At 37.0% G+C, this 24,405-nt stretch overlaps 1 long non-coding RNA gene across 1 annotated transcript in view; it reads left to right on the top strand.

Annotated features, from left to right (window-relative positions):
• Positions 1 to 5,204: 5,204 nt before the first annotated feature.
• Positions 5,205 to 24,405, top strand: part of LOC107986901 (uncharacterized) — a 34,966-nt gene continuing 15,765 nt past the window's right edge. The window contains exons 1-2 of the long non-coding RNA XR_001745735.2: positions 5,205 to 5,263; positions 14,357 to 14,503. This is a non-coding gene — a long non-coding RNA (uncharacterized LOC107986901). The remainder of the gene's footprint in view (positions 5,264 to 14,356; positions 14,504 to 24,405) is intronic.

The following is a 24,405-nucleotide window of genomic DNA, read 5'->3' as shown; positions in this document are numbered from 1 at the left end:
AGCATGGGCCAATTTAACATCTTCTCTTTTTAGTTACCCAGTCAGGTATTTCTTTATAGCAATGTGAGAATGGACTAAAACATCAACATAACAAGTTTGTCACATTCCATGATACCTAGCTTTATACTTGGCTCTCACCCTTCAACACACAGTGCATTAGAAGTCTTTGTGGGCACTGGCTATGTCTGTCTCATCTTCTTTCCATAACATCTAACATAGTGTTAGGTCCATATTAGTCACTCATTTATTACTTGCTAAATCAGTATATATAAAAATAAATAAATACATATATTTTGAAAAATAACTTTATCTCATAAACACCTCTCATGTTATTCTTCAATTCACATTAAACACATCCCACATACATATTGCCAATAGAATTAATTCTGCAATATTTCAGTATAAGTTGATGCTGTTAATGTTTTTTCATGGTATATATATATTTATATGACTCTCCTGCCTCAGCCTCCCATGTAGCTGGGACTACAGGCTCGCGTCACCATGCCCAGCTAATTTTTGTATTTTTGATAGAGATGGGGTTTCACCATATTGGCCATGATGGTCTTGATCGCTTGACCTAGTGATCCACCCGTCCTGGCCTCCCAAAGTGCTGGGATTACAGGTGTGAGCCACTGCACCCAGCCTCATGGTTCATATTTAAGGAATGATTAAAAATCAGAAAACATAACCCTTAGTATAGAACGAGAAAAAGGAATCATGCCAATGAGTGCACATGCGTGTATCTACAACAAGCTTCTCATATTTCACTTTCTCATGCACTCTTATCACATCTGATGTCACAAGCAGAACTAGGCACTGGTCTTATTATGCATATTTTCTGTTGGTGACATCTAACCTGCCACTCAGCCTCCCGTCAGGCCACATCATCTCAGTCCAGCTAGAGTGTGGATTATTTTCACTTGTTTCCTCCTAAATTCAGATTTTGAACTTTTGTCACATACATCTTCCTTGTAGAAAGAAATATATTTAGGTATTGAATATAGAGTCAACAACAGTTTTTCGGGAAAATGTTGACAAATAATTAGGGGTTAGAAAGAAAGGGCAGAACAAAAGGGGGTCCATGAAACATGTGAGAAAGAATTTCAGCAAGGATGCTCATGCAGTAGGGTCTCTGAGGAGCCAAAGATGGAGTTCTTGCTTGAGATAGGAAGAGATTTTTAGTAGTCAGCTTAAATGAAGTAAAATGAGCAATTGTCAGTGATATGTAAAGCTCCCAAGTGAATATTTTCTGAAAAGATGTCCTATCAAGAGCTAACTAGTATAAAAACTAGTATAATACTTATTTTGAGGAATAATGTTCTAAACTCAAATAATTTGAAAATCACTCCATCTGTGCACTTATGGTGAAAGATAATACCTGTCTGCATATTGAAGGTTATCAGAAGTTTCCTACACTGAGGCAATTTGCGCTCCTTCTTTTTTCCAGAATTTTGCAATTTTATTTATTTATTTATTTTGCCAACGGCATAGTTCTAGTCCATGTAATGAGTGTTGGAAAATGCTGTATTTCCTCATTTTGTCTCATTCTGATCATTTGTCTTTTCCATTTGCCAGCACACACTTGGACTGGAATGTCCTTTAATTTGTTTCTCTGTTAAGTGTCCCAAAAGGCACACAGAATTTATCTTTTATTTCCTCTCTTGGAAAGTAGTGTTACAACATTTATTGTAGTAATACTTAATCAAAATAGTGCCAAAAGCTGTGTTAAACACGTGCAAAGAAACAGTCCCATGTTATTCTTAACAGTGTGCCAAATTTGGGTAAATTACATGATTCCATATATATATATATATATATATATATATATATATATATATATATAGTTATCTAAGATTAAACTTCCAATAATTATTTCTTGTTATAAAGGGAATATGCAGTTATACAAAAATGCAAAAATTCAGGCAATTTATCATCCTGTATTTTAGTGCTTAGATTTTGAATTATATTAAAAGAAAAAAGCTAAATAGTACGATTAATATTTCTTAAATTACATGTTTCTGCTCCAAGGAGACACCTTTGCTTTATGTTCATTGAATTGTCTCCTTTAGGTATAGCCTCAGGTTTCTTCAGCAATATTAGTTTCAACTCGACATAAAATGAGAATTTGAAGAGGATGACGACAATGCATGTTGGGAAAGGCTTTCATTTTTAATTTTGGTCTTTTTCCAAATGGCAATTAGATCATGTCTTATAGGCTAATGATTATTCTCAATATCTGTTTTCCCTTCCTCCATTACCGGAATTTTTGTTGGAAATACAATGACAATAGAATGAAGATTTCATTTGCTAGCATTTCTTGCATCTAGATGTGGTCATATGACTGAATTTAGGAAAGAAAAGGACATTAGAAGAGGCTTTATATATTAGCTGCTGGACAGCTTCCTTTGCTTTCATCTCTCTTTCTTTCTCTGAACTAATGCCTACAGCGTGGAACCATTTTGAACTGTGAGAAATGCCATCCCTAGTGGTCATAGAAGTTGCCTGGGTTCTTGACAGGATCCATATGGAGCATGATACTTCACTACATGACCTTCTCAGTCTGTGTCATGCAAATTAGAGAAAAAAAAACTTCTATTTTGTATAGACCACTAATTTATTTACTTATTTACTAGTTTAACTGGCAGCCAAATGAAATACTATAACGTACAGGTGGGGGTTGATTCGAAAAGTGGAGCAGAGGATAGCCTTATAAGTATAGCTTATCACTATACCATAGGAGAAAGCAAATATCTTAGAAGAATACAATAGTGCATGCTGTACCATGTCATTTATTTGCCTTTTAATAATTTAAAGGCATTATTTAAATATCAATATTTTAAAATAAATACATAAATAAGATTCAATTAATCTCATGGATAAAAACATAAGCTACTATGTTTAAGACCAACAAGATTAAAATCCAGTTTTGCTGCTTACTGATGTGTTATTATAGCTTCTTGGAACTTCAGTGCCCTTTACATACAATGAAACTAAAATAGGAGATTTGAGAAGCAAATAAGATGGTGCATTTAAAGCATATTAAAAAGTGCCTGTGCAGGAACAGAAAACCAAATACTGTGTGTCCTCACTTATAAGTGGGAGCCAAATGATGAGAACACACGCACATATGGTGGAGAGGGGACAGCACACACTGGGGCTTGTTGGAGGGTTGGGGATAGAAGGAGGGAGGGCTTCAGGAAGAATAGCTAATAGATGCTGGGATGATCTGTGCAGCAAACTGTCATGGCACATGTTAACCTACATAACAAACCTGTGTATCCTGCACATGTATCCCGGAACTTAAAATAAAAGTTGGAAGTAAAAATTTTTAAAGGTGCCTGCACAAGGTAGACCCTTAATCATTATTGGGTCTCACTGCTCTCTCTGTTGCATGCAAGTTTTGTTACATATTGAAATTTGTTCAAAATAACAGCAACAGCAGCAGCAGCAGCAACAACAACAATAACAACAACAACACGAAAGCATCATTTCTGCTTTCAAGAAAATCCATATCATGTTTAAGGGGAGAAAGACTATAATTCGTCACTACCTTTTATAAAAACCATCAACACTCGAAGCACAGTCTTTATTTGTTTAAAGCATCTTTTGCCTCATAGAGCTTGCTCCCTAATCACCCCTAAGGTAACTTACAGAGTTGCCCTAAATATGGAAACAAATATTTTCCTTAATCCTAGGTCAGATCAGGTTATTCTTTCTAAACAGTTCATCACTGAAGCCTCAGGGATAACCTAGTAGAGATAAATACTAAGTTGCAATTTTAGTGTCTCATTCCAGGCGGCTGCTTTCTGGAACATATTGCCTCATCCTTACTTGTGGTTCTCAAATCACATCAAAATCATGTGTAGTACATGTTGTAAAGCTAGATGCTAGTGTTACCAAATTTGAATCTCCTAAGTGTAGGAAATTCCTCTTATATTAAGGTACCAGGAGATTTTGAATTTTTTATCTAGGTTAGGGAACCAGTGTCTAGCTTGGTGATTAGATTTTGGCCTGCCTGGGTGAGGCGCATAGGGGCCAGTTTTCCCCGTATCTTCGTATTCTGCCAATTAGGACTGGTATTCTTAGAGCCTTTTGTCTTTTTGTGACCTACTGTGCTAGTTTCCTTTTCTATTCCAGAATTGGCACTTTCCTGTGATATTTCACTTTGGAAGATCCCCTCCTTCAATGGAAGAACTTTTTCTTCCTGCAAGGGTATAAGCTATCACTTTAATCATAACAGAATATTAACCTAAGACTATAAAGACACCAAAAATGCACACTGATATGTATATGTGTGTATTATATAGGTAAGAAAGGATAAGTTCCTTATATTCTCTAATACAGTGGTTCTTACACTTTGTCATGCATCAGAATCATCTGGAGGTACTCACTTTGCTGGGCAAACCCCCAGAGTTTCCAAGTAATGAGGTCAGGGTGAGATCTAAAATTTTATATTTCCAATCAGTACCTAGGTGATGTGGATATTGTGTATTCAAGTGCTATACTTTAAGAATCACTGATAAATAAAACTAATAAACACATGAGCATATGTGACACATGCATATAGATTGTGCAAAGATGGGAGAGATTATAGTTGTTCTGGTGATAAAGAGGCGATTCTCATATGAGGAGAAGTTTCAGATGTCTTTTTTATTGGCATTGAGAGGACACAAGAGATGGAAACATTCCAAAGGATAAAGAGTGTGAGTGGAAGTCATGTGTATTTCAGTATGTGTCAAAGGTTCCTGGAAAAAGTATAATGTTTGCAAAAGGAAGAACTACGATATATATAATAAACTAAACTGGTGCAATAATTAGCAATAACTATGAAGAGTATCAATATAAGCATAGAGGACAGAAAAGTTGGTGGACTTTGATGTCAGATTAGCAAAATCCCAGTTATGTCTATTTATAATTGTCTGATCGTGGACAAATTGCTTAATTTTTATGAGTCTTAATATCTTCTGAAGAGACTAATGTTTTTTCTACAACTCTTGGGAAGATTAAATTAAGAAAAAAGACATATATAGCACCTGACACAATGCCTAGCTGATGTACTCAGTAAATGATAGCTATATTTATTGCTGTATTTTTGCTATCCTGATAACATAGTTTGTCACCCCTGGCCTCTGCTTGTGTGGTCAAGGTCCATTTGTGAGCCAGACAGTCTGGTATTTAAGGTTTCATATTATTGTTGTCTACCGGCCAGGCAGTAAGTCACTGTGAGTTACTGCTTATTTTCTTTTTAAAAGAAAAAGTAAAAGTAAGTAAACTTATTTTACTTTTTAAAAATGCATAATTCACAAACTTTTTTGTTGAATAGGTTTCATGATTGTAATATTTTTAAATTCTTTAGGTGAAAATATATAATAGTTTATTCTGATGGAAAGTCTTCAAATAGATAATGTAATGCATGCATTTGTTTAATACGTACCTTAATAAAAAATACATTATTTTAATTGTGGAAGTTACCCAGCAAATGAAAAGAAAAACATTGCTTTCATTACATTTGAACTACTGAATGTACACATAGAACTCATCAATTGCCCGGAGAAAGGCTTTTCTTTAAATAAAAAATTGTCTTTATGGTCATTTGAATACATTGAATTTGACTGATTTTTTAAATCCTACTCATTTCATATACACGTGACTAATGTTATGTATTTCTTGAGATAATACAAATCATTAGGAAAAAAGTGATTTATCCAATTTTCTTTATCCTGCCAAGTGCAGGATGTTTATTTCTTTGGATGTAAGTAAACTCTTGATATGTTAAAAAAAAATTTCTTTAGAAAACTATCAGCCCAATTTTTTAGAGGCTTAATTAGGACTTATATTTTGGACAATGTAGCAGAAGACTTAACATGAAGATTACAAAACGCCTAGTTGTTCTAGACATAAACTGTGGCATCCTGGAGTCAGCTCATACTGACTTAGAGTTGGTTGTTGAATTTTTAGATGTTTTGAAAGCAAGTTGTAAAAGTAGCCATTATATTAATGATTTTAAATTATATTAACCTATCCTTAAGTAAGTTATCACAGAAACAGGTAAAAATACTAAAAAAAATCACCAATTCCTCTATTTTACTATAATTTTATTATTATCTATATTTTTGAATCCATTTATGTCTATTGTAAATCTATGGTGGCAACACTGTGTGATGGTGTATACTATACAAGTTATCTCAATGCAGCATTCACTGATGTCATGTTTGACTGGTTAGATTACCCACAGAGGACTATGTTTATCTTCTTTGTAGAGGATAAAACTGCCAGTGCTTCAGGATACTAATAAAGGAAGGGATTTAGAGGCCTCCATGTTCAGTAGGCAACCTACGTAGTTATGTTGTTTTCAGTTTAATTTTCCAACTTCTGAAGCACAGAGAACTTTGGTTTTATCATCTCCAGAGCCCGCTCTTCTGGTTTTACATCATGGTAGAAAACTAGCAGTCAATACCTATGCAGAGTTGGTAAGGAAATCCTGATGTTCAATTGCCTTATACACATTTTTTTTTTTTTTTTTGAGACAGTCTCACTCTTGTCGCCCAGGCTGGAGTGCTGTGGTGCAATTTCGGCTCACTGCAACCTCTGCCTCCTAGGTTCAAGCAATGAGTAGCTGGGATTACAGGTGCCCACCACACCCGGCTAATTTGTGTACTTTTAGTAGAGATGGGGTTTTACCATGTTGGTCAGGCTGGTCTCGAACACCTGATCACAGGTGATCTGCCCGCCTCAGCCTCCCAAAGTGCTGGGATTACAGGCATGAGCCACTGCAACCCGCCTATAAACACATTTTCAACCAATCCACCTGTTTGTTTTGTTTTGTTTTCCCTTCACTATCATTTCATTCATGGGACTTGGTGCCACTGATTTCTGAGCCTTTAGAGGACTCTGTGTTAATCTGTTTTCATGCTGCTAATAAAGAGATACCCAAGACTGGGCAATTTACAAAAGAAAGAGGTTTATTGGACTTATAGTTTCACATGGCTGGGGAAGCCTCACAATCATGACAGAAGGCAAGGAGGAGCAAGTCACACCTTACCTGGATGGTAGCAGACAAAAGAGAGCGCTTATGCAGGGAAATTCCCATTTTTAAAACCATCATATCTCATGAGACTTTTTCACTATCAGAAGAACAGCATGGGGAAGACCTGCTCCCATGATTCAATTACATCCCACCAGGTTCCTCCCATGACATGTGGGAATAGTGGGAGTTAAAATTCAAAATGAGATTTGGGTTGAGACATAGCCAAACCATATCTTTACACCCCCGGCCCTCCCAAATCTCATGTCCTTGCATTTTAAAATCAATCATACCTTCCCAACAGCCCCCACAAAGTCTTGACTTATTTTAACATTAACTCAAAGTCCACAATCCAAAGTCTCATCTGAGACAAGGCAAGTCCCTTCCACCTGTTTTTCCATCCTGTAAAATTGAAAGCAAGTTAGTTACTTCCTAGATACAATGGGGGTACAGGCATTGGGTAAATACAGTCATTTCAAATGTGAGAAATTCACCAAAACAAAGGAGCTACAGGCCCATGCAAGTCCAAAATCCAGTGGGGCAGTCAAATCTTAAATCTCCCAAATGATCTGCTTTGACTCCATGTCTCACATTCAGGTCATGCTGATGCGAGAGGTGTGTTCTAAATGGTCTTGGGCAGTTCCACCCCTGTGGCTTTGCAGGGTACAGCCTCCCTCTGGCTATTTTCATGGGCTGGCATTGAGTGTCTGCAACTTTTCCAAGCCCACGTTGCAAGCTGTTGGTGAACTGCCATTCTGGGGTCTGGATGACAGTGACCCTCTTCTCATAGTTCCACTAGGCGGTGCCCCAGTAGGGACTCTGTGTGGGGGCTCTGACCCCACTTTTCCCTCCTGCACTGCCCAAGCAGGCAGAGGTTCTTCTTAAGGGCCCTTCCCCTGCAGCAAACCTCTGCCTGGGCATGCAGGCATTTCCATACATCCTCTGAAATCTATGCAGAGATTCCCAAACCTCAATTCTTGACATCTGTGCATCTGCAGGCTCAACACCACGTGGAAGCTGCCAAGGCTTTGGGCTTCCACCCTCTGAAGCAACAGCCTGAGCTATACTTTGGCCCCTTTTAGTCACAGCTGGAGCAGCTAGGACATAGGTCACCAAGTCCCTAGACTGCTCACAGCAGAGGGACCCTGGGACTAGCCCAGGAAACCATTTTTCCTCCTAAACCTCCAGAACTGTGATGGGAGTGGCTTCTGCAAATGTCTCTGACATGCCCTGGAGACATTTTCCCCATTGTCTTGGAGTTTAACATTTGGTTCCTCATTACTTAAGCAAACTTCTGTACACCACTTGAACTTCTTATCAGAAAATGGGATTTTCATTTCTATTGCATTGTCAGGCTGAAAATTTTCCAAACTTTTATGCTCTGTTTCCCTTTTAAAACTGAATGCCCTTAATAGCACCCAAGTCACCTCTTGAATGCTTTGCTGCTTAGAAATTTCTTCTGCCAGATACCGTAATTCATCACTCTCAAGTTCAATGTTCCACAAATAGAGCAGGGGCAAAATGCTTGTATTCTCTTTGCTAAAACATAACAAGTGTCACATTTGCTCCAGTTCCCAACAAGTTTCTCATCTTCATCTGAGACCACCTCAGCCTGGATTGTATTGTCCATATCATTATGAACATTTTGGGCAAAGCCATTCAACAAGTCTCTAGGAAGTTCCAAACTTTCCCACATCTTCCTATCTTCTTATGAGGCCTCCAAACTGTTCCAATCTCTGCCTGTTACCCAGTTCCAAAGTCGCTTCCACATTTTCAGATATCTTTTTAGCAGTGCTCCAATCTACTGGTACCAATTTATTGTATTAGTCCGTTTCACACTGCTGATAAAGATATACTTGAGACTGGGCAATTTACAAACGAAAGAGGTTTATTGGACTTACAGTTCCACATGGCTTGGGAGGCCTCACAATCATGGCACAAGGCAAGGAGGAGCAAGTCACATCTTACATGCATAGCAGCAGACAAAAGAGAGAGTGTGTGCAGGGAAACTCCCGATTTTAAAACCACCAGATCTCGTGAGACTTATTCACTATCGTGAGAACAGCATGGGAAAGATCCACCCCCATGATTCAATTAGCTCCCACCAGGTTCCTCCCAGGACATGTGGGAATTGTGGGAGTTACAATTCAAGATGAGATTTGGGTGGGGACACAACCAAACCATATCAAACCAAAAATTACCTAATTACATCTAAAAGTTACTACTGATCCATCTACTGTTTAGCCTTCAAATTTTTGATGTTACTGTCTCCTTTTCTCTATGTTTTGTCCTTGATGGTTTATGCTTTTGTAATCAATTTATTGCTACTTTAGCCAGAATTTTTAGCCTAACTGAGGCTTAATGCATATTTTTAAAGTGAAAACATAAAGTAGATATTCAAAGGCAAATTGGAAAATCTTGAGGTCTCTAGAATCTGTTACCTTAGAGAAACTTTGAGGGAAGTTTCTGAGGGATGCTTTTTAAATATATCTTTGGTTTTAGCTTTGTCCTAAATTGCCAAGATCCAGGGAATGTGAAAGCCTGAGGTAAACAGTGTTTTTAATCTGTGAGGAAAGTGCCATACCCAGAGAAGGAGGTAATCTGCTGATCCCTGGCATGGTGAAGAAACCCATAGCAAAACCAGAAATAACAATCATGTTTATTGCCATTTGTCCAGCTATGTATTTGTTACAGTAACTGTTCTGAGCATTTGATACACGTTATCTTAAAGAGTTGTTATATCTCTGACATAGCCATGCTTATCTTCATTCTATTTATGAGAAAATTGTTAGTGGGAAGATGTGAGTTAACTGACCTGGAATTTCCGAACTGCCATTAGGAAAGCAAAGAATTGAACATTCTCATTTAGTTTATTCAAAATTTCTGTTTTTAATCATTGCATTATAAAGAATGGTAGAGCATAGGCTGGGCATGGTGGCTCATTCTTGTAATCCCAGCACTTTGGGAGGCTGAGGCGGGCGGATCATGAGGTCAGGAGATCGAGACCATCCTGGCTAACACTGTGAAACTCCGTCTCTACTAAAAATACAAAAAAAAAAATTAGCCAGGTGTGGTGGTGGGCACCTGTAGTCCCAGCTTCTCAGGAGGCTGAGGCAAGAGAATGGTGTGAACCCGGGAGGCGGAGCTTGCAGTGAGCCAAGATCACGCCACTGTACTCCAGCCTGGGTGAAAGAGCAGGACTCTGTCTTAAAAAAAAAAAAAAAAAAAAAAGGAATGGTGAGCATTGATCAAACCTTTTTTTAGTGATGACCACTTTTCAGATTGATGTAAGAGTTAAAGAAAAATGTGTTATTAAAAAAGCCTATTCTTTCATTAAAGGCATGGCTTAAAAATTGTGTTCCGTTCACTTATGATTTGAAATATGTGTGTATGTGTATTTGACTTACCATCATTATTATTACCTAACATTTTTGATAATTTCTCTCTTGGGAAATGATTATACTTAGATGCAAAGATAGAGAAAACAAGTCTGGTTTCTACTTAATTAGTAGAAAGTATGATCTGTGTGAGGGCTTGCACAGACAGTTATATTTAGGGTATTGAACTTAATATGTACTGGGCTCCTTATATTCTCAGTTGTCTTTTTCTTACTAGAAAACCAAGCAGGGATTTGAAAGCTGTCAGAATACAACATAATGAGAACCTTGTATTTCTATTTTCTATGCAGAAATTCACAAATGACAGAATATAATTTAACGTTGGTCTTCAAACTAAATCTGACTGTCAATACTACTTGAACATATGCTCCTAACATCTCTATCTCAAGAGTCATTGGGTACATATAAGATTATATCTTTACTAGGTGATTCATCCTACAATTCTTGATTGATCAGCAATGTCAATTTTTCACAACTCTCGAGATTTGGCAACCTATCACAGATAATGCAAAACTGATAGTGAGCAACAGTGGGGAACCATTACTACTTCTAGGCCTGAAGAGGCAAGAATAAATAGTTATCAAACCCCAGAAACAATAGTTATATAAAAACAGATGAAATATTTTTGGCAGAGAGGAACCCAGAATTAAAAATAGCTTGACCTCACTCTCTTCCTGCCTCCTACTCTCCTCTGGTCTCTCCCACTGTTCAAACTCAAGCCAGAGGACAAGGGAGCTTGTAGATGCAGTTCATAAATATTCACCTCTTGGGGCAATGGCAGAATGCAAAGAGGTAATAAGTGAATTTGGAATGGGAAAGTTAAATATCTGTCATTGTAGGTTATGTAGTTAGTCAACATTTAGTAATCATTTATTATAATCACAATGTCTTTGGAAACCAAAATAAATATCAGGCCTCCACTTCTCATAGAAACAATCAATATATTAAAGTAGACCTGAAAGAAGTGAGGGTATTATCACATAAAAACAATTAAGCATTTAAAAAATAGATGCTAGAAAAGTGTTGAGAGCAATATTTTCCAAATATGTTGTGGGAGAAGGAAAAACTCAAAAATATCAACAAATACCTATGCAAATAATTGCTTCAAGTTAATGACGTTTTTATTTTAAGTTTTTGTTTTGCTGTTACATTATATATTTACAAAATCTTTTATAAATGATGTATATTGGTCATTTAGGAATAGTATTAATATTTTTTAATAAACATATATAAGTGCATTTTTATTTTTAGCATTTAATCTTTTGTAATGAGTCTTTAAAAACGTACAGTAACTGATTTAAATATATAGGTCTGTTTTATCCAGCAGGTTAAAGTGGTAGGACAGACTTAATCATGAATACTATTTTAGTCCTAAAATTATTTGCAGAAGAAAATCTCTACTGAATTGTTTTTCAAATCAGTTTAGTTATTATATTTTCAGGCTCCATCAGTAATTTCAATTGAATGTTGACCTGTAGCATACAAAAACTAACCATTTGTGTATTTGTTAAGTTTGTTTTCATGGTACAAAAAAAACTGAATGGAAAGTTGATTATTTTCTCTGAGTACAAAGATGTAAAAATTCTCTTTTTATTTCCTCAAAAAATATTTCTAATGCATACTCAAAACTTTCAGCCTTCAAACAGTCTGAATTTGTTATCCTGGTGAGCCTGGTTCTTTTAACATGCTTCCTGTATAAATAGACTAAGTGTTTGGCTCTGAATTCTCTGGTTTAAATGTATTTTCTCATTACTCTTTGTTCAGTTCAAGTCTTAAACTATTTGGAACTGGGTCTAAGGGAGAACTTCAAGCATGGTCTCTGTGACAAGTTGTTGTCACCTTGTAGAGTTGAAATGTCATTTCAATACACTATACAGAACCTCATGATTACATTGCCATAGCGATTGTTTTCTTACTACTGCAGTGGATTTTACACTAGAATTTACATTTCAATTTATTGTGACCTGGAGACACAATAGAATATATAGGCTTTTAAATTATTATTTTTAAAGTGAAAATAAAGTACTTATTAAGCCCAAGGTTAAAACAATGTATTTTAGATTAAAGGCCATATAGTAGTTAGTGGTTCACAAGGTGTGTTTTATTGCAAATATTTCACACACACACACACACACACACACAGACACACACACACAAACACACCCCCCTAAACACTTTTCATTGAATGGTAAATCTGATTTGATCTCTTCAATGTCTCACTCTCTTCACCACAAGGCCAGCCAAACATCATCTAACATGGTGCAGCTAACCCAAGAATTTCCTTGCTGCCTGAACTCCAGCTTACTTTAGTCTCTTACTCAAAAATGAGAATTGATTATATTATACACTGAAACTCACCATTAGTCATTTTGATTATCAGAGCTTAATTTTGGCAGAAACAATATGACTGATTCAAGCAGAAAATTGCTTTGCATTATAGATTCATGTCTACCTCATCGTGGAAGGATCCAAGCTGTCCTCAACCTTGGAATAATCCTGGTCTGGTCATTTGATGACCAGGAAATGGTTACAGAAGAGAGAGTTCATGGGAAGATACTAATAGTACAGTGATGGTCTTGATAATAAACAGCACAGTTTCTTGACTTCAGTAGTATTGACACTTCTGAGTGGAAAATTCTTTGTTGTGGAGAGCTATAGTGTACCTTGTAAGATGTTTAGCAACATTTTTGGCTTCTACTCAGTGGCTGGTAGCAACATCCATCTCCCAAGTTATCAGAGTCAAAAACATCTCCAGACATTGCCGAACTTCCCTTGGGTGGCAAAACTGCCCCCAGTTGAGAACTATTGTTCTTATCTTTGGCTAGTGTGTATGGTATTTCTGATACAGCATTGTGTATTTTGGCTTTTATTTTTGAGAAATGTAATACATTCCCTCTGGTTTAAGAAACATGTTTGCCATTGTTGCTTTTTCTTGTAGCGCACTCACAAAGGGAATTTTATTTTTTTACATTGACTGGAGAGAGAAAAAAATGTAACACCCTTTCATTCAATATCCACATGACAAGCAAAATGTTATTTTAAAATTAAGTATTTTATACCATTAATTCATAATTAGTACCAAAGACTTCTCCTATTATTTGGAAGTTTTAAAATGTGGTTCATTAACATGTCTCTAAAGAACTGTGTAATTTGCCTCATGCTTCTAAATTTAAATTCTGTTCACATGACTCCCCTACTTGTTCAACTGAAAAAATCTAATTTCAGTTTCTGTAATGTACTAGTACCTCTTTTGCCTATCAGAAAATTTGTATAAGCCTTTTCTTCCCATATGAATAAATTCACCTCAACCCTTGTGCCCTTCTTTTAGCCAATAATTACCACTAGCTAATTCTTATTGAATTAAGTATGTTTAAGGTAATTAAGGTCTTTAAGATACTAACTTAATTACCATTTCCTCAGAAATTTTAACATAAAGTTAGTAATATTATTATTATTTAGACAGGATCATTTTTCTTTTTGTGACATTTAAATAATTTTAAATAATATTCTTGAGTATATTTAAACTATATATATGTCTCCCTCAGTAGACATTATATGAGTAGGGACTATGTTCAGAAAACTAGTAATTCTTAGCGTCCAGAGAAATGCGTTAGAGAACTGTCTCAGGGCTGATCAGCGATCCTCAGAATCTATTTTCCCCTCAAATTTAGTGTCCCCAAACTTATGATTCTTAAACTTGTAGTTCAAGAGGTATGTAAAAGTATTTTGGCATGTATGAATTTTTAAAGGTGAAGATAAAATCAGAACATTATTTGTATAAGTCAGAGGCTACACATGAAATAATTTCTCTGTAAAAGTTCTAAGATAATAACAAATGTTGAACATCGATAAAATACTAAGTAAAATTTGGTGTGAAATAGTACATAAGGAATATTAATTTACTATACTAACTTAGAGCCATCTGTTGTTTTAGGAGGTTCAGAGTACACAGAGGAGGATTAAAATGACCGTGTTGAAGATGGAAAGGTCAAGGCCTCCATCATATAGAAAGGTCCAGAGGTGGTGCTGATAATCTAGATTTGACTCTATCACTTCTCATGTCACAACAATACAAACTTCGGTATGTAAAATATTTTGGCAAGCCATTGGAAAACATAGCATTACCATGGCTGCTTCTGTCTCATAATTTGGCTCTTCTATGAACCCAGAAAAGTACCAGTACTTCTTTTATTATGCACAGGGTGGGAGATTTTTTGTTTGTTTGTTTTCACACTAAGTAAACTAGCAGAGATTATTTCCATCTTTCTTCTAAGAATACATCAACATGGGTAGAGAGACACCACCTAATCATTTGCTATAAACTGAATGTTTGTGTCCCTGCAAAAATCATATGTTGAAATTCTAACCCCCAATGAGATGGTATTAGGAGGTGAGTATTTCATGGGGATAGATCCTTCTAAGTGGGATTAATGCTGTTACAAAAGAGACCCCAGAGAGCTTTCTTTTGTCTTCAGCCATGTAAAGACATAGAAAAAAGATCATCTATGACCCAGGAAGCAGGTTCTTCCCAGACACTGAATCTGTTTACACCTTGATCATGGACTTCCTAGCTTTCAGAAGTGCAAGAAATAAATGTTTGTTGTATAAGCCATCTAGTCAATGGTATTTTTGTTATAGCAGCCTGAATGAACTAAGACATTATTGTGCTTGGTTTGTTCTTAAATTTCCTTGGATAAAACTGTTAGCTACAGAGGAAAATTAAGTTACAATCAGCATTATATAGAGACATATACACTGACATATTGGCAAACAGTACACGTTCTGGAATGAAACAAAAGAAAAAAAGGAAGAAAGGAAGAAAAAAGGGAAAAGAGTCAGGAGGGAGAAATAACTTTTTTTTTTCTCCTGAATAGGGGTACTTTGACAACCCTAATGAACATCCACAGATTGCTTCTGTTCTAGAAAGAGTGTTAGACTTGGTGTAAATGTATGATGTATAGATGAAATCAGTAAAATAGAAAAAAATATATATATGTATTTATATCTGATTTCCTTTGATTGAAAGTAAAAATTGGTACAATCTTATTAAATTTGGTAAATTTCAAAGGGAGATAAATATAACAAAATAATGTCCATCGTCCTCACTGTGGATTATTGAATCATTAAAGCCAGTTTTATTTGTTTGGATGTAAAGGGGGGATGAATAGCTGTTCTTATGGGTCTTTCAACTTACTGCTTATTCATTTATTCATTTCAGCCTTATTTCCATTCCTCTCTGTTACTTTCTTGAGCTCTCATTGAGAACTAGCTACTCAATTTTAGCTCTGTAGTCTCCCCTCCCACCAATTCTCTCCCTAAATGTGAGGATTTGAAATATTGCCTTACTTTTCCTTTCCTAGGGATCATTCTATTATTTTCTCATTCAAATTCCCTTATATTTTTGTAAGTTATTTCAATTAGAGACATAGAAGAGAGCTTTTATTGTTGTTGTTGGGGGCAGAGTGGAAAGGATAACTGCTTTCATGGTAGCAGCTGTGAGAAGGAAGTAAGAACTCAAAAAACACATTATCTCAAGTTTACTTACAGGAATGGTTTTAGAACATGCTGCATGATAAGAAAGCATTTGTTTTCCAAAATTATTTATTATAGGAATCAATCAGATCGCTAGGGCACTGTTACTATGGGCCATCTGCGGGAGATGGATACAGTTTTGTCACACATAACCCTTATTCATATCTCATTCCTGTTAGGGAATTTTAACTGTAATTGTTTCTCAACAGGGGATTCTTAGGTCATCAGTAGGTTAGTTGTTGTCTAGAGAATACAAGCGGGAGGAAGAACATTCAAATACAATTATTACCCAAAATGTAGCCCTTTTTTCCCTAAGCTAAATGGGCTAAATTTAACTACAGATGGGATTTAACCATTCACATTTTTATATTTTAGCTACCACCAAGGTACTAGAGATTAGAATTCACAGAGCCTGAAGTTTCTAGCTCATTGCTTAACCTGCTGAGTCATATTTTTTTAAATTGTTCTATACACAAGAAAAATGGTACACGATGATGTTGTACTAATGTGTACCCTGTGTCTGCAGGTAGGCATTAAAGTTAGTCTCACAGAAATTAACATACAATAGAAATCTGGCAAGCCTCAGTTTGCGTTGCAATAAAAATAATTATTTCTCGTTTTAAAAATTACCATGATTGATGCATTTTGTTGACTCAACTAATTTCAAGAAAGCACTAAGGACATTCCTGAAATAACAACTTCGGCATAAAATGAAGTATCTTTGTTTCTGGAGAAGCATGGTGAAAAGAGGCCAGTATTTGTCAAAAGACCTGATTTAATACTTATCCTGTTACTTTTGTTTTGTGACCTTAAAGAGTTCATTTAATCTTTTTGTTTTACATTTCTTCATCTCTAAAATGAGAATATAGATACCTGCCTTATCTGTCTAATAAATGTATTATAATGATAAGGTATATTATAGACACTTTAAAAATGAAACAGTGTTATATTACAGTAAGTTGAAATTCACTTATGTGTTGAGGCAACTTTGTTTCATAGCTATGCTCTACATTTTCCCCTAATACATAAAATCTCTGGAAGCATTGAGCTGAAAATTAGATACAGTAGTGATAATAACCATTACTAGTGTTCATCATCAGAAACATTGAAGAGTATTGAATTATGTGCTAGTAAAAGAGCTTAAAAGATAGAATACATAATACATATTATGGTCTAATCAAGAATAATATTTATCCCACAAATAACCACAAAGTAACATTCTTAAATCATGGTTTTGAATATATTTTCTAATATTATGTCTAACATATTAAAATATTTTAACAACATGGTTTTAAGCCAAAAAAATCAAGTCCATTTTTCCTTTATATAACTTGGCAAAATTCAGCAGATTGTTACACTCCATTGTGGAGAATTTGAAAATGACTTTATGCTGTGAAATTTTGAAGATGTTATTTTTGGCATATGGAATGGATTTTGGTGGTTGAACAAACAGTTGAAATACCAAATGTAGTCATAGGGATTCCCTTTATACTAAAATGCATGAACATAACTGCTTTTAACTTTCAGCACAATTTTTCTAAAATTTGGTTAAGTGGTGAAGGATGAGAAAATTAATTATAATTCACAATACTTTAATAAGATCCAAAATATCCGTATGATAACAACTCTAAAATGTAACATTATCTATTTCAGTTGTGATTCTAAAGTGTTTCAATATTTTTGTCATCTATGTCCTTGTTAACGGACATTTGCCTTGCAATTGAAATATGTTGACAGTGATGTTCTGTTAACATTTTTTGTTTGTGAATGAAAAACATTTTATGTTACCAGATGACCATATTGCATATGCAGTAGTTATAAGATTGAAGAGAAATCAAATCTTAGTGGGGCGTATCATATATGGCAAAGTAGTTCTGATCCACATTCACGTATGTGTATAAATTATTTTGGTGCTAACTGATAAAGAGCCATAACTGTAAGCATAAGTGAGGGGCCTAAAGATCCATTCATCCATTACACACATTGTTTTCCGGGAGCTTTCCCCTACCTAACTACCATGTTAGTAATGGTGTGATATCTACCCTACCCCTACTTCAAGATAGGCAGGCTTTTGATTCCCATTCTAATTAGTTGAGTACATGTCAGTTTTAAATTTAAAATAATGTGTTTTAATATGCATAATAATCTCTTTATGGCTCAGCTTTGTTTCCCCACAAATATTTGGAATAATTAAAGATTACACATAGAACTCTGTATATAGTTAACCTTTAAAAATGTCAATTTTGTACCATAACTTTCTTTCTTGCAGTTGTACAATTCATAGTTGTATTTTATATTCAAATTTATGCCTTTTTTTTCCTGTTTTTTGTTTTGTTTTGTTTTGTTTTTTTCCGAGATGAAGTTTATCTCTTGTTGCCCAGGCTGAAGTGCAGTGGTATGATCTCGGCTCACTGCACCCTCTGCCTCCTGGATTCAAGTGATTCTCCTGCCTCCACCTCCCGAGTAGCTGGGATTACAGGTGTGCACCACCATGTCAGCTAATTTTTTGTATTTTTAGTAGAGACAGAGTTTCACCATATTGGCCAGGCTGGTCTTGAACTCCTGACTTCAGGTGATCCACCTGCCTCTGCCTCCCAAAGAGCTGGGATTACAGGCATGAGCCAACCTGCCCGGCCTATTTTTTACTGTTTTTTAATCATACTGGGAAATATTATTAAGCACTTTCTATGTGTACTTTACAAAATCTAATGAATCTGGTGAGCCCTGTATGAATCAACAATATAAATGGGAAAGAAGGCAAATAGAAGAATAAGCATTTTTAGGGAATAGAGGTGAATCTGTCATTACAATACTTTTCTATTATGATTACCAACAGAATTTGTAGTATTAATATAAAAAATCCTCTCATCCTGTCATCTAATATATATTCACAGATCCTTCTCTTAACTTTCTGTAAATGAGGACAATTGCAGTTCTATGACTGTTATTAATACTTTCCTGACAACCTTTGAAATCTCTACATTTCTACTATAAAGCCTGTCCGTTGGCTTTCTGCACACCTCTGTCTGTCTCTCTCTCTCTTTTTTCTGTGTCACTTTCTCCTCTTTCTCTCTCTGTTCCTTTCCCTTGGATTTCTCATTCACTCCTAATTTTAATTATTACATATCTGTTGGTAGGTCCTACAAGTAAATCTCCTGCCCTTAGCAGCAGCTCCAAGTTTGTCTTATATTTTTCTGCTGAAAATTTACATGACAAACTTAAATGTATGAATTAAACATACTCTCACTCCTCTTGATTGAGGCCTTTCCCCGCTTTTTACTTTTTCTGTTATTTCTTCTCCCGTCCTCACATCAAAGTTAGAAGACTGCACTTGTGTTCTCCCACTTACCACTCCCATGTCCTTCTCAACATCATAGCACTGAAACTGCTCCTTTCAACATCAACAATAGGAATGCTTCTTAATACATAATAAATATTAAACCATATCTGTCACATAATTGATAATTTGACCTATTTACATAATGAAACACCACAACTAAATATTTATCTTTCAGCTTAAAAAAACACTTTATTGAGGTATGATTGCTATGTAAAAAGCTATACATATTTAAAATGTCCACAATTTGATGCATTTGGTGATTAGTATATGTCCATAAACCATCACCACCATGAAGGCCATAAACATATCTATCACCTCCCAACTTCCCGAAGTTTCCTCCCATTCTTATCATAATTTTTTTCTTTTGTTGCAAGCATGCTAAAGATCTATCTTCCTAGAAAATTTTATGTATACAATACAGTATTTCTAGCTATAGACACTATGCCGTATAGTAGAGTTCCAGAACTGATTTACCTTGCGTAATTAAAACTTCACAACCTTTGACCAAAACCTCCACATTTCCCTTTCCCCAAGCCTCTAGCAACCACCATTTTGCTCTCTGATTTTATGAGTTGGACTATTTAAGATTCATGTATACATGGAAACATATAATGTTTGTTTTTTTCTGTCTGTCTTATGTCACTTAGCATAATGATTTCCAGGTTTGTCCATGTTGTCACAAATCAAAAATGGCAGTATTTCCTTGTTGAATTGAACCCTTTATCATTATGTAATGCTCTTCTCTTTTGATTATTGCTGATTTAAAGTCTGTTTTTGTCTGAAATAAGAATACCAGCCCCTGCTCTTTATTGCTTACTGTTTGTTTGACAGATTTTTCCTTATTTCTTTACTTTGAACTTATGGGTGTCATTGCATGTGAGATGGGTCTTTTGAAGACAGCATATAGTTGGGTCTTGCCACTCTATGACTGTTAAGTGGGGTGTCTAGCCCATTTATATTTAAGGTTAATATTGATATGTGTGGGTTTTGTACTGTCGCTGTGTTGTCAGCTGGTTGTTATGTAGACTTGATCGTATAGTTGCTTATAGTGTCAATGGTGTATGTATGTAGATAGATTTTTGTGGTGGCCAGGAATAGTCTTTTGTTTTCCTGTTTAGCTCGCCCCTAAGGACCTTTTGTAAGGCAGGTCTGGTGGTACCAAATACCCTTAGCATTTGTTTGTCTGAAAATATTCTATTTCTCCTTCATTTACGCAGCTTGTTTAGAGTGGCTATGACATTTTTGGTTGAAATTTCTTTTATTTAAGGATGATGCATATAGGCCCTCATTCTCTTCTGGCTTGCACAGATTCTTCAGAAAGGTTTTCTGTTAGATTTATGGGGTTCTCTTTGTACATGGCCTGCCTCTTATCTCTAGTTTTTTGATATTTTTCTTTGGGATTGACTTTGAAGACTCTGATAACTGTGTGTCTTGGGACTGGTTGTCTTACATAGTATCTCACAGGGGTTCTCTGAATTTCTTGAATTTGAATGTTGACCTCTCTCGCAAGGTTGGGAAAATGTTTGTGGACAATATTCTCAAATATGTTTTCCAATTTGCTCTCTGTCTTCCTCTCCTTCAGGGATACCAATGAGTCCTAGGTTTGGTCTTTTTACATTATCCCATATTTCTTGGAGCTTTCATCATTATTTTTATTCTTTTTTTTCTTTTATACTTTTGTCTGATTTGATTTGAATAACTGGTCTTTGAGCTTTGAGATTATTTTCTCAGCTTGGTCTATTCTTGTGTTAATATTTTTGATTGTATTGTGAAATTTTTGTAGTGAGCTTTCCAGCTCTAGCAGTTCAGTTTTGTTCCTTCTTAAACTGGCTATTTTGTCTTTTCAACTCTTCTATCACTTTACTGGATTCATTAGATTCCTTGGATTCGGTTCAACTTTCTCCTAAATCTCAATAATCTTTGTTGCCATCCAGATTCCGAATTCTATATCTGTTGTTCCAGCCATTTCAGTCTAGTTAAGAACCATTGCTGGTGAGCTAGTGCAGTTGTTTGAAGGTAAGAAGACACTCTGTCATCTAGAATTGTGATCCCTATAATCCCCACATTTCACAGGAGGGACACGGTGGGAGGTGATTGGATCATGGGGGCAGTTTCTCCATGCTTTTCTCATGATAGTATGTGAGTTCTCATGAGATCTGATGGTCTTACAAGTGTTGAACAGTTTCTCCTTCCCAAGCTCTCTCTCTCTCTCATTGCCTTGTGAAGAAAGTGCCTGCTTCCACCATGATTGTAAGTTTCCTGAGGCCTCCCCAGCCATGTGGTAATGTATGTCAATTAAAACCTCTTCCTTTATAAACTACCAAGTCTCAGGCATTTCTTCATAGCAGTGTGAAAACGGCCTAATACACTCTTGCTTTTTTAGTTGCCAGAGTTCTTATGCTTGTTATTTCTCAACTTTGATGTCTTTGAGGGCTTTATCATGGTATAATTTGGGTTCAGTTGACTGGCTTCCTTTTTGTGTCATTTCAGGAGGCCAAGGCTCATCTCACCACTCCCGGACTGTGTGCTCTAACCCTGGGGGTCAGGGACCAGGCCTATGGCATTTGTTCTATGGCCCCTCAATGTTGAGCACCTCCTGAGCTGGAAGAATTGAGGTGTTCCTGGTCGGCTAGCAGGAACACTTAGATTTGTGGTTCTGGCAAAAGCACTTCGTTGGGGTGGTGGCATTGGGGTCTGTGCTCACGCACATGTGCTGGTGGCAGCAGGGTGGTAGTGTGGTGGTATTCAGCACATGTGGCAGAGGCAGCAGGGAGGCAGCACTGTGGGGTCCACACATGCGCATGCACCTGCAGTCGCAGGCAGTGTCACAGTGGGGTTTACGTATTCCAGCAGGGATGGGGCAGTCAGTGTTAGATCCATCTGTTCACATGCAGAGGTAAAGCAGTCAGAGGAAGCTGAATGATTGCACATCAGCAAAGTATTGGTAGTAGGCTGCAGTTGAATGAGCACCATCAAAGTATTAGGGGGAGGATGCAGGTGGTTTTGTGCTGGTGGGGGACCATCAGCAGAAGCTCTCTGATGGTTAGGTAGGGGTCTGCCAGTGAAGTAGTTGTGGCAGTGGCTGCTGTGAAATGCCTCAGTTGAGCATCCGAGGCTGTACTGCAAGCAGATATGGCCAGGTAGGGGCCCTGGCAAAGGCTGGTAGAGAGTGGGGCATTAAGGTCAGAATGACTCCATCCCACAGGCAAGGCAGCCCTGTGCTGTCAAGGTTCAACAGTCAACAAAGACCAAAGCCACCTAGAGGATCATGGTGAGATGGGGGTATAGGCATACTTGGCCATGCTCCACTGTAGCCATTCCCATGGCAAAACCTCTGGGCTCTGGACAGGCTAGAGTCCTGTTCCTGCCAACTCTCCAAGCAGCTCTCCCTACCAGCTCAAATGTCCAGGTGTGCAATTGAGTATCCTGCAGCCAGGATTCTGGAGGTCCCTGGCAAGAGTAGGCCACTCCACATCTATTTAACTGATCCATTCCCTAGTAATTGCTCAAGGTCAGGAATGAGTCTTGGTGGTTGGCCATGCCATGCAGGGTCCCCAGCTTCCTCTCCCTCAGCCCTTCAGCCCAGGGTGTACATCCTCTCGCTGTCCCCTCTCAGTGTATCCCTTCTGAAGGTCTGCCAGGGTATGCCAGTCTTCTTGATGGCCTGGTCTCTCAGTGGGATAAGCTCCTCTAGGTGCTTTTAGTTGGCCATCTTGGGTCTTCTGGTCAATACTTTTTTTAAAAAATAGTCATCTTGAAAGACATAAGGTGTTGTCTCATTGTGGTTTTGATTTGCATTTTCCTACTGCTTAGTAATGTTGAGCAACTTTTCAAATACCTCTTGGCCATTTGTAAGGTCCCCCAGTTTTCCCACTTTCCTTCTGAATCCTAAGTGAACACACAGAGTGCCCTGACTGCCCTGTGACCCGGCCAGCTGCAGATTTTTCCCAGCAGGCTTGAATGCAAAACTAGTCTTTGAACATTCCTAGGAACTGATACAAATATCTAGGTTGCTGCCCAAAGCACTGAAACAATCAACCCCTGGCCCTTAGCCATTAAACCGTCATACAAACTCCATACTCTGATTCTCCCACTGTAGACATACCTACTGGATTATTGCTTTCTTTCTCTGTCTTTCATGAGGATATGCTGCAGCACCATACAAGTAAGTTCTCCTAATACATGCTTTGGACAGATCACCCTAGATCACCCTGCTGTTTAGTGCTTCTTTCTTTGGAATCCCAACTGGCCCCATTTCCAGAGGGTTTGGGGCACTCCCTTATGGGAACTCCCCTAATGCTGCTTTTGAGACAATTCCAGTCATAAGTTTGTCAGAAAGAAACAGAATTTGTCCGTCTTCTGTGGAGAAAGTACTTCTTAAATATCAGTGACTCCTTTGGCTTTTGTAATGTTAGTTTTTCCTTTTCAGTTTTGTATCTCACTCTTTATTATTTTTTCTGTATTTCACTCATGGATTTTCCTCCTCTCCTTAAAAGAAAATGTTCCTCCAGAGTCTCCTATTGGGCTCTCGCTTTTCTTTTCTACATGCACATTTAAGAGAGCTTACCCACTTGCATGGCATTAGCAAACATTTTCTCAGAAGACTTACATAACGATCATGAAGATTTGAATATTTTTTTGTGACCAGATATCTTATCTAGCCTCCTGATGGACATATCTGCTTCAAAAGTAACTCGAACTTGGAAGTTAGACTGCTTTAGTTTAAATCCTGATCTGCCACCTATAAGTCCCTGGACCTTAAGATACCTGTATTAAGTTTTCTAGGGCTGCCATAACAAAATACCACCAACTGGGTGGCTCAAACCACAGAAATGTATTTTCCTACATTTCTGGAGGCTAGAAGTCCAAGACTAAGGTGTCAGCAGAATTGATTTTGAGAGGTGAAGCCAACTGGGCTTCTGGGTCGGGTGGGGACTTGGAGAACTTTTCTGTCTAGCTAAAGGATTGTAAACACACCAATCAGTGCTCTGTGTCTAGCTAAAGGTTTGTAAACACACCAATCAGCACTCTGTAAAAACGGACCAATCAGCGCTCTCTGTCTAGCTAAAGGTTTATAAAAGCACCAATCAGCACTCTGTAAAAATGCACCA

This window comes from Homo sapiens, chromosome 8 (assembly GCF_000001405.40).
Source record: "Homo sapiens chromosome 8, GRCh38.p14 Primary Assembly".
NCBI lineage: Eukaryota > Metazoa > Chordata > Mammalia > Primates > Hominidae > Homo > Homo sapiens.
This window is presented reverse-complemented; position numbering and strand designations above follow the sequence as displayed.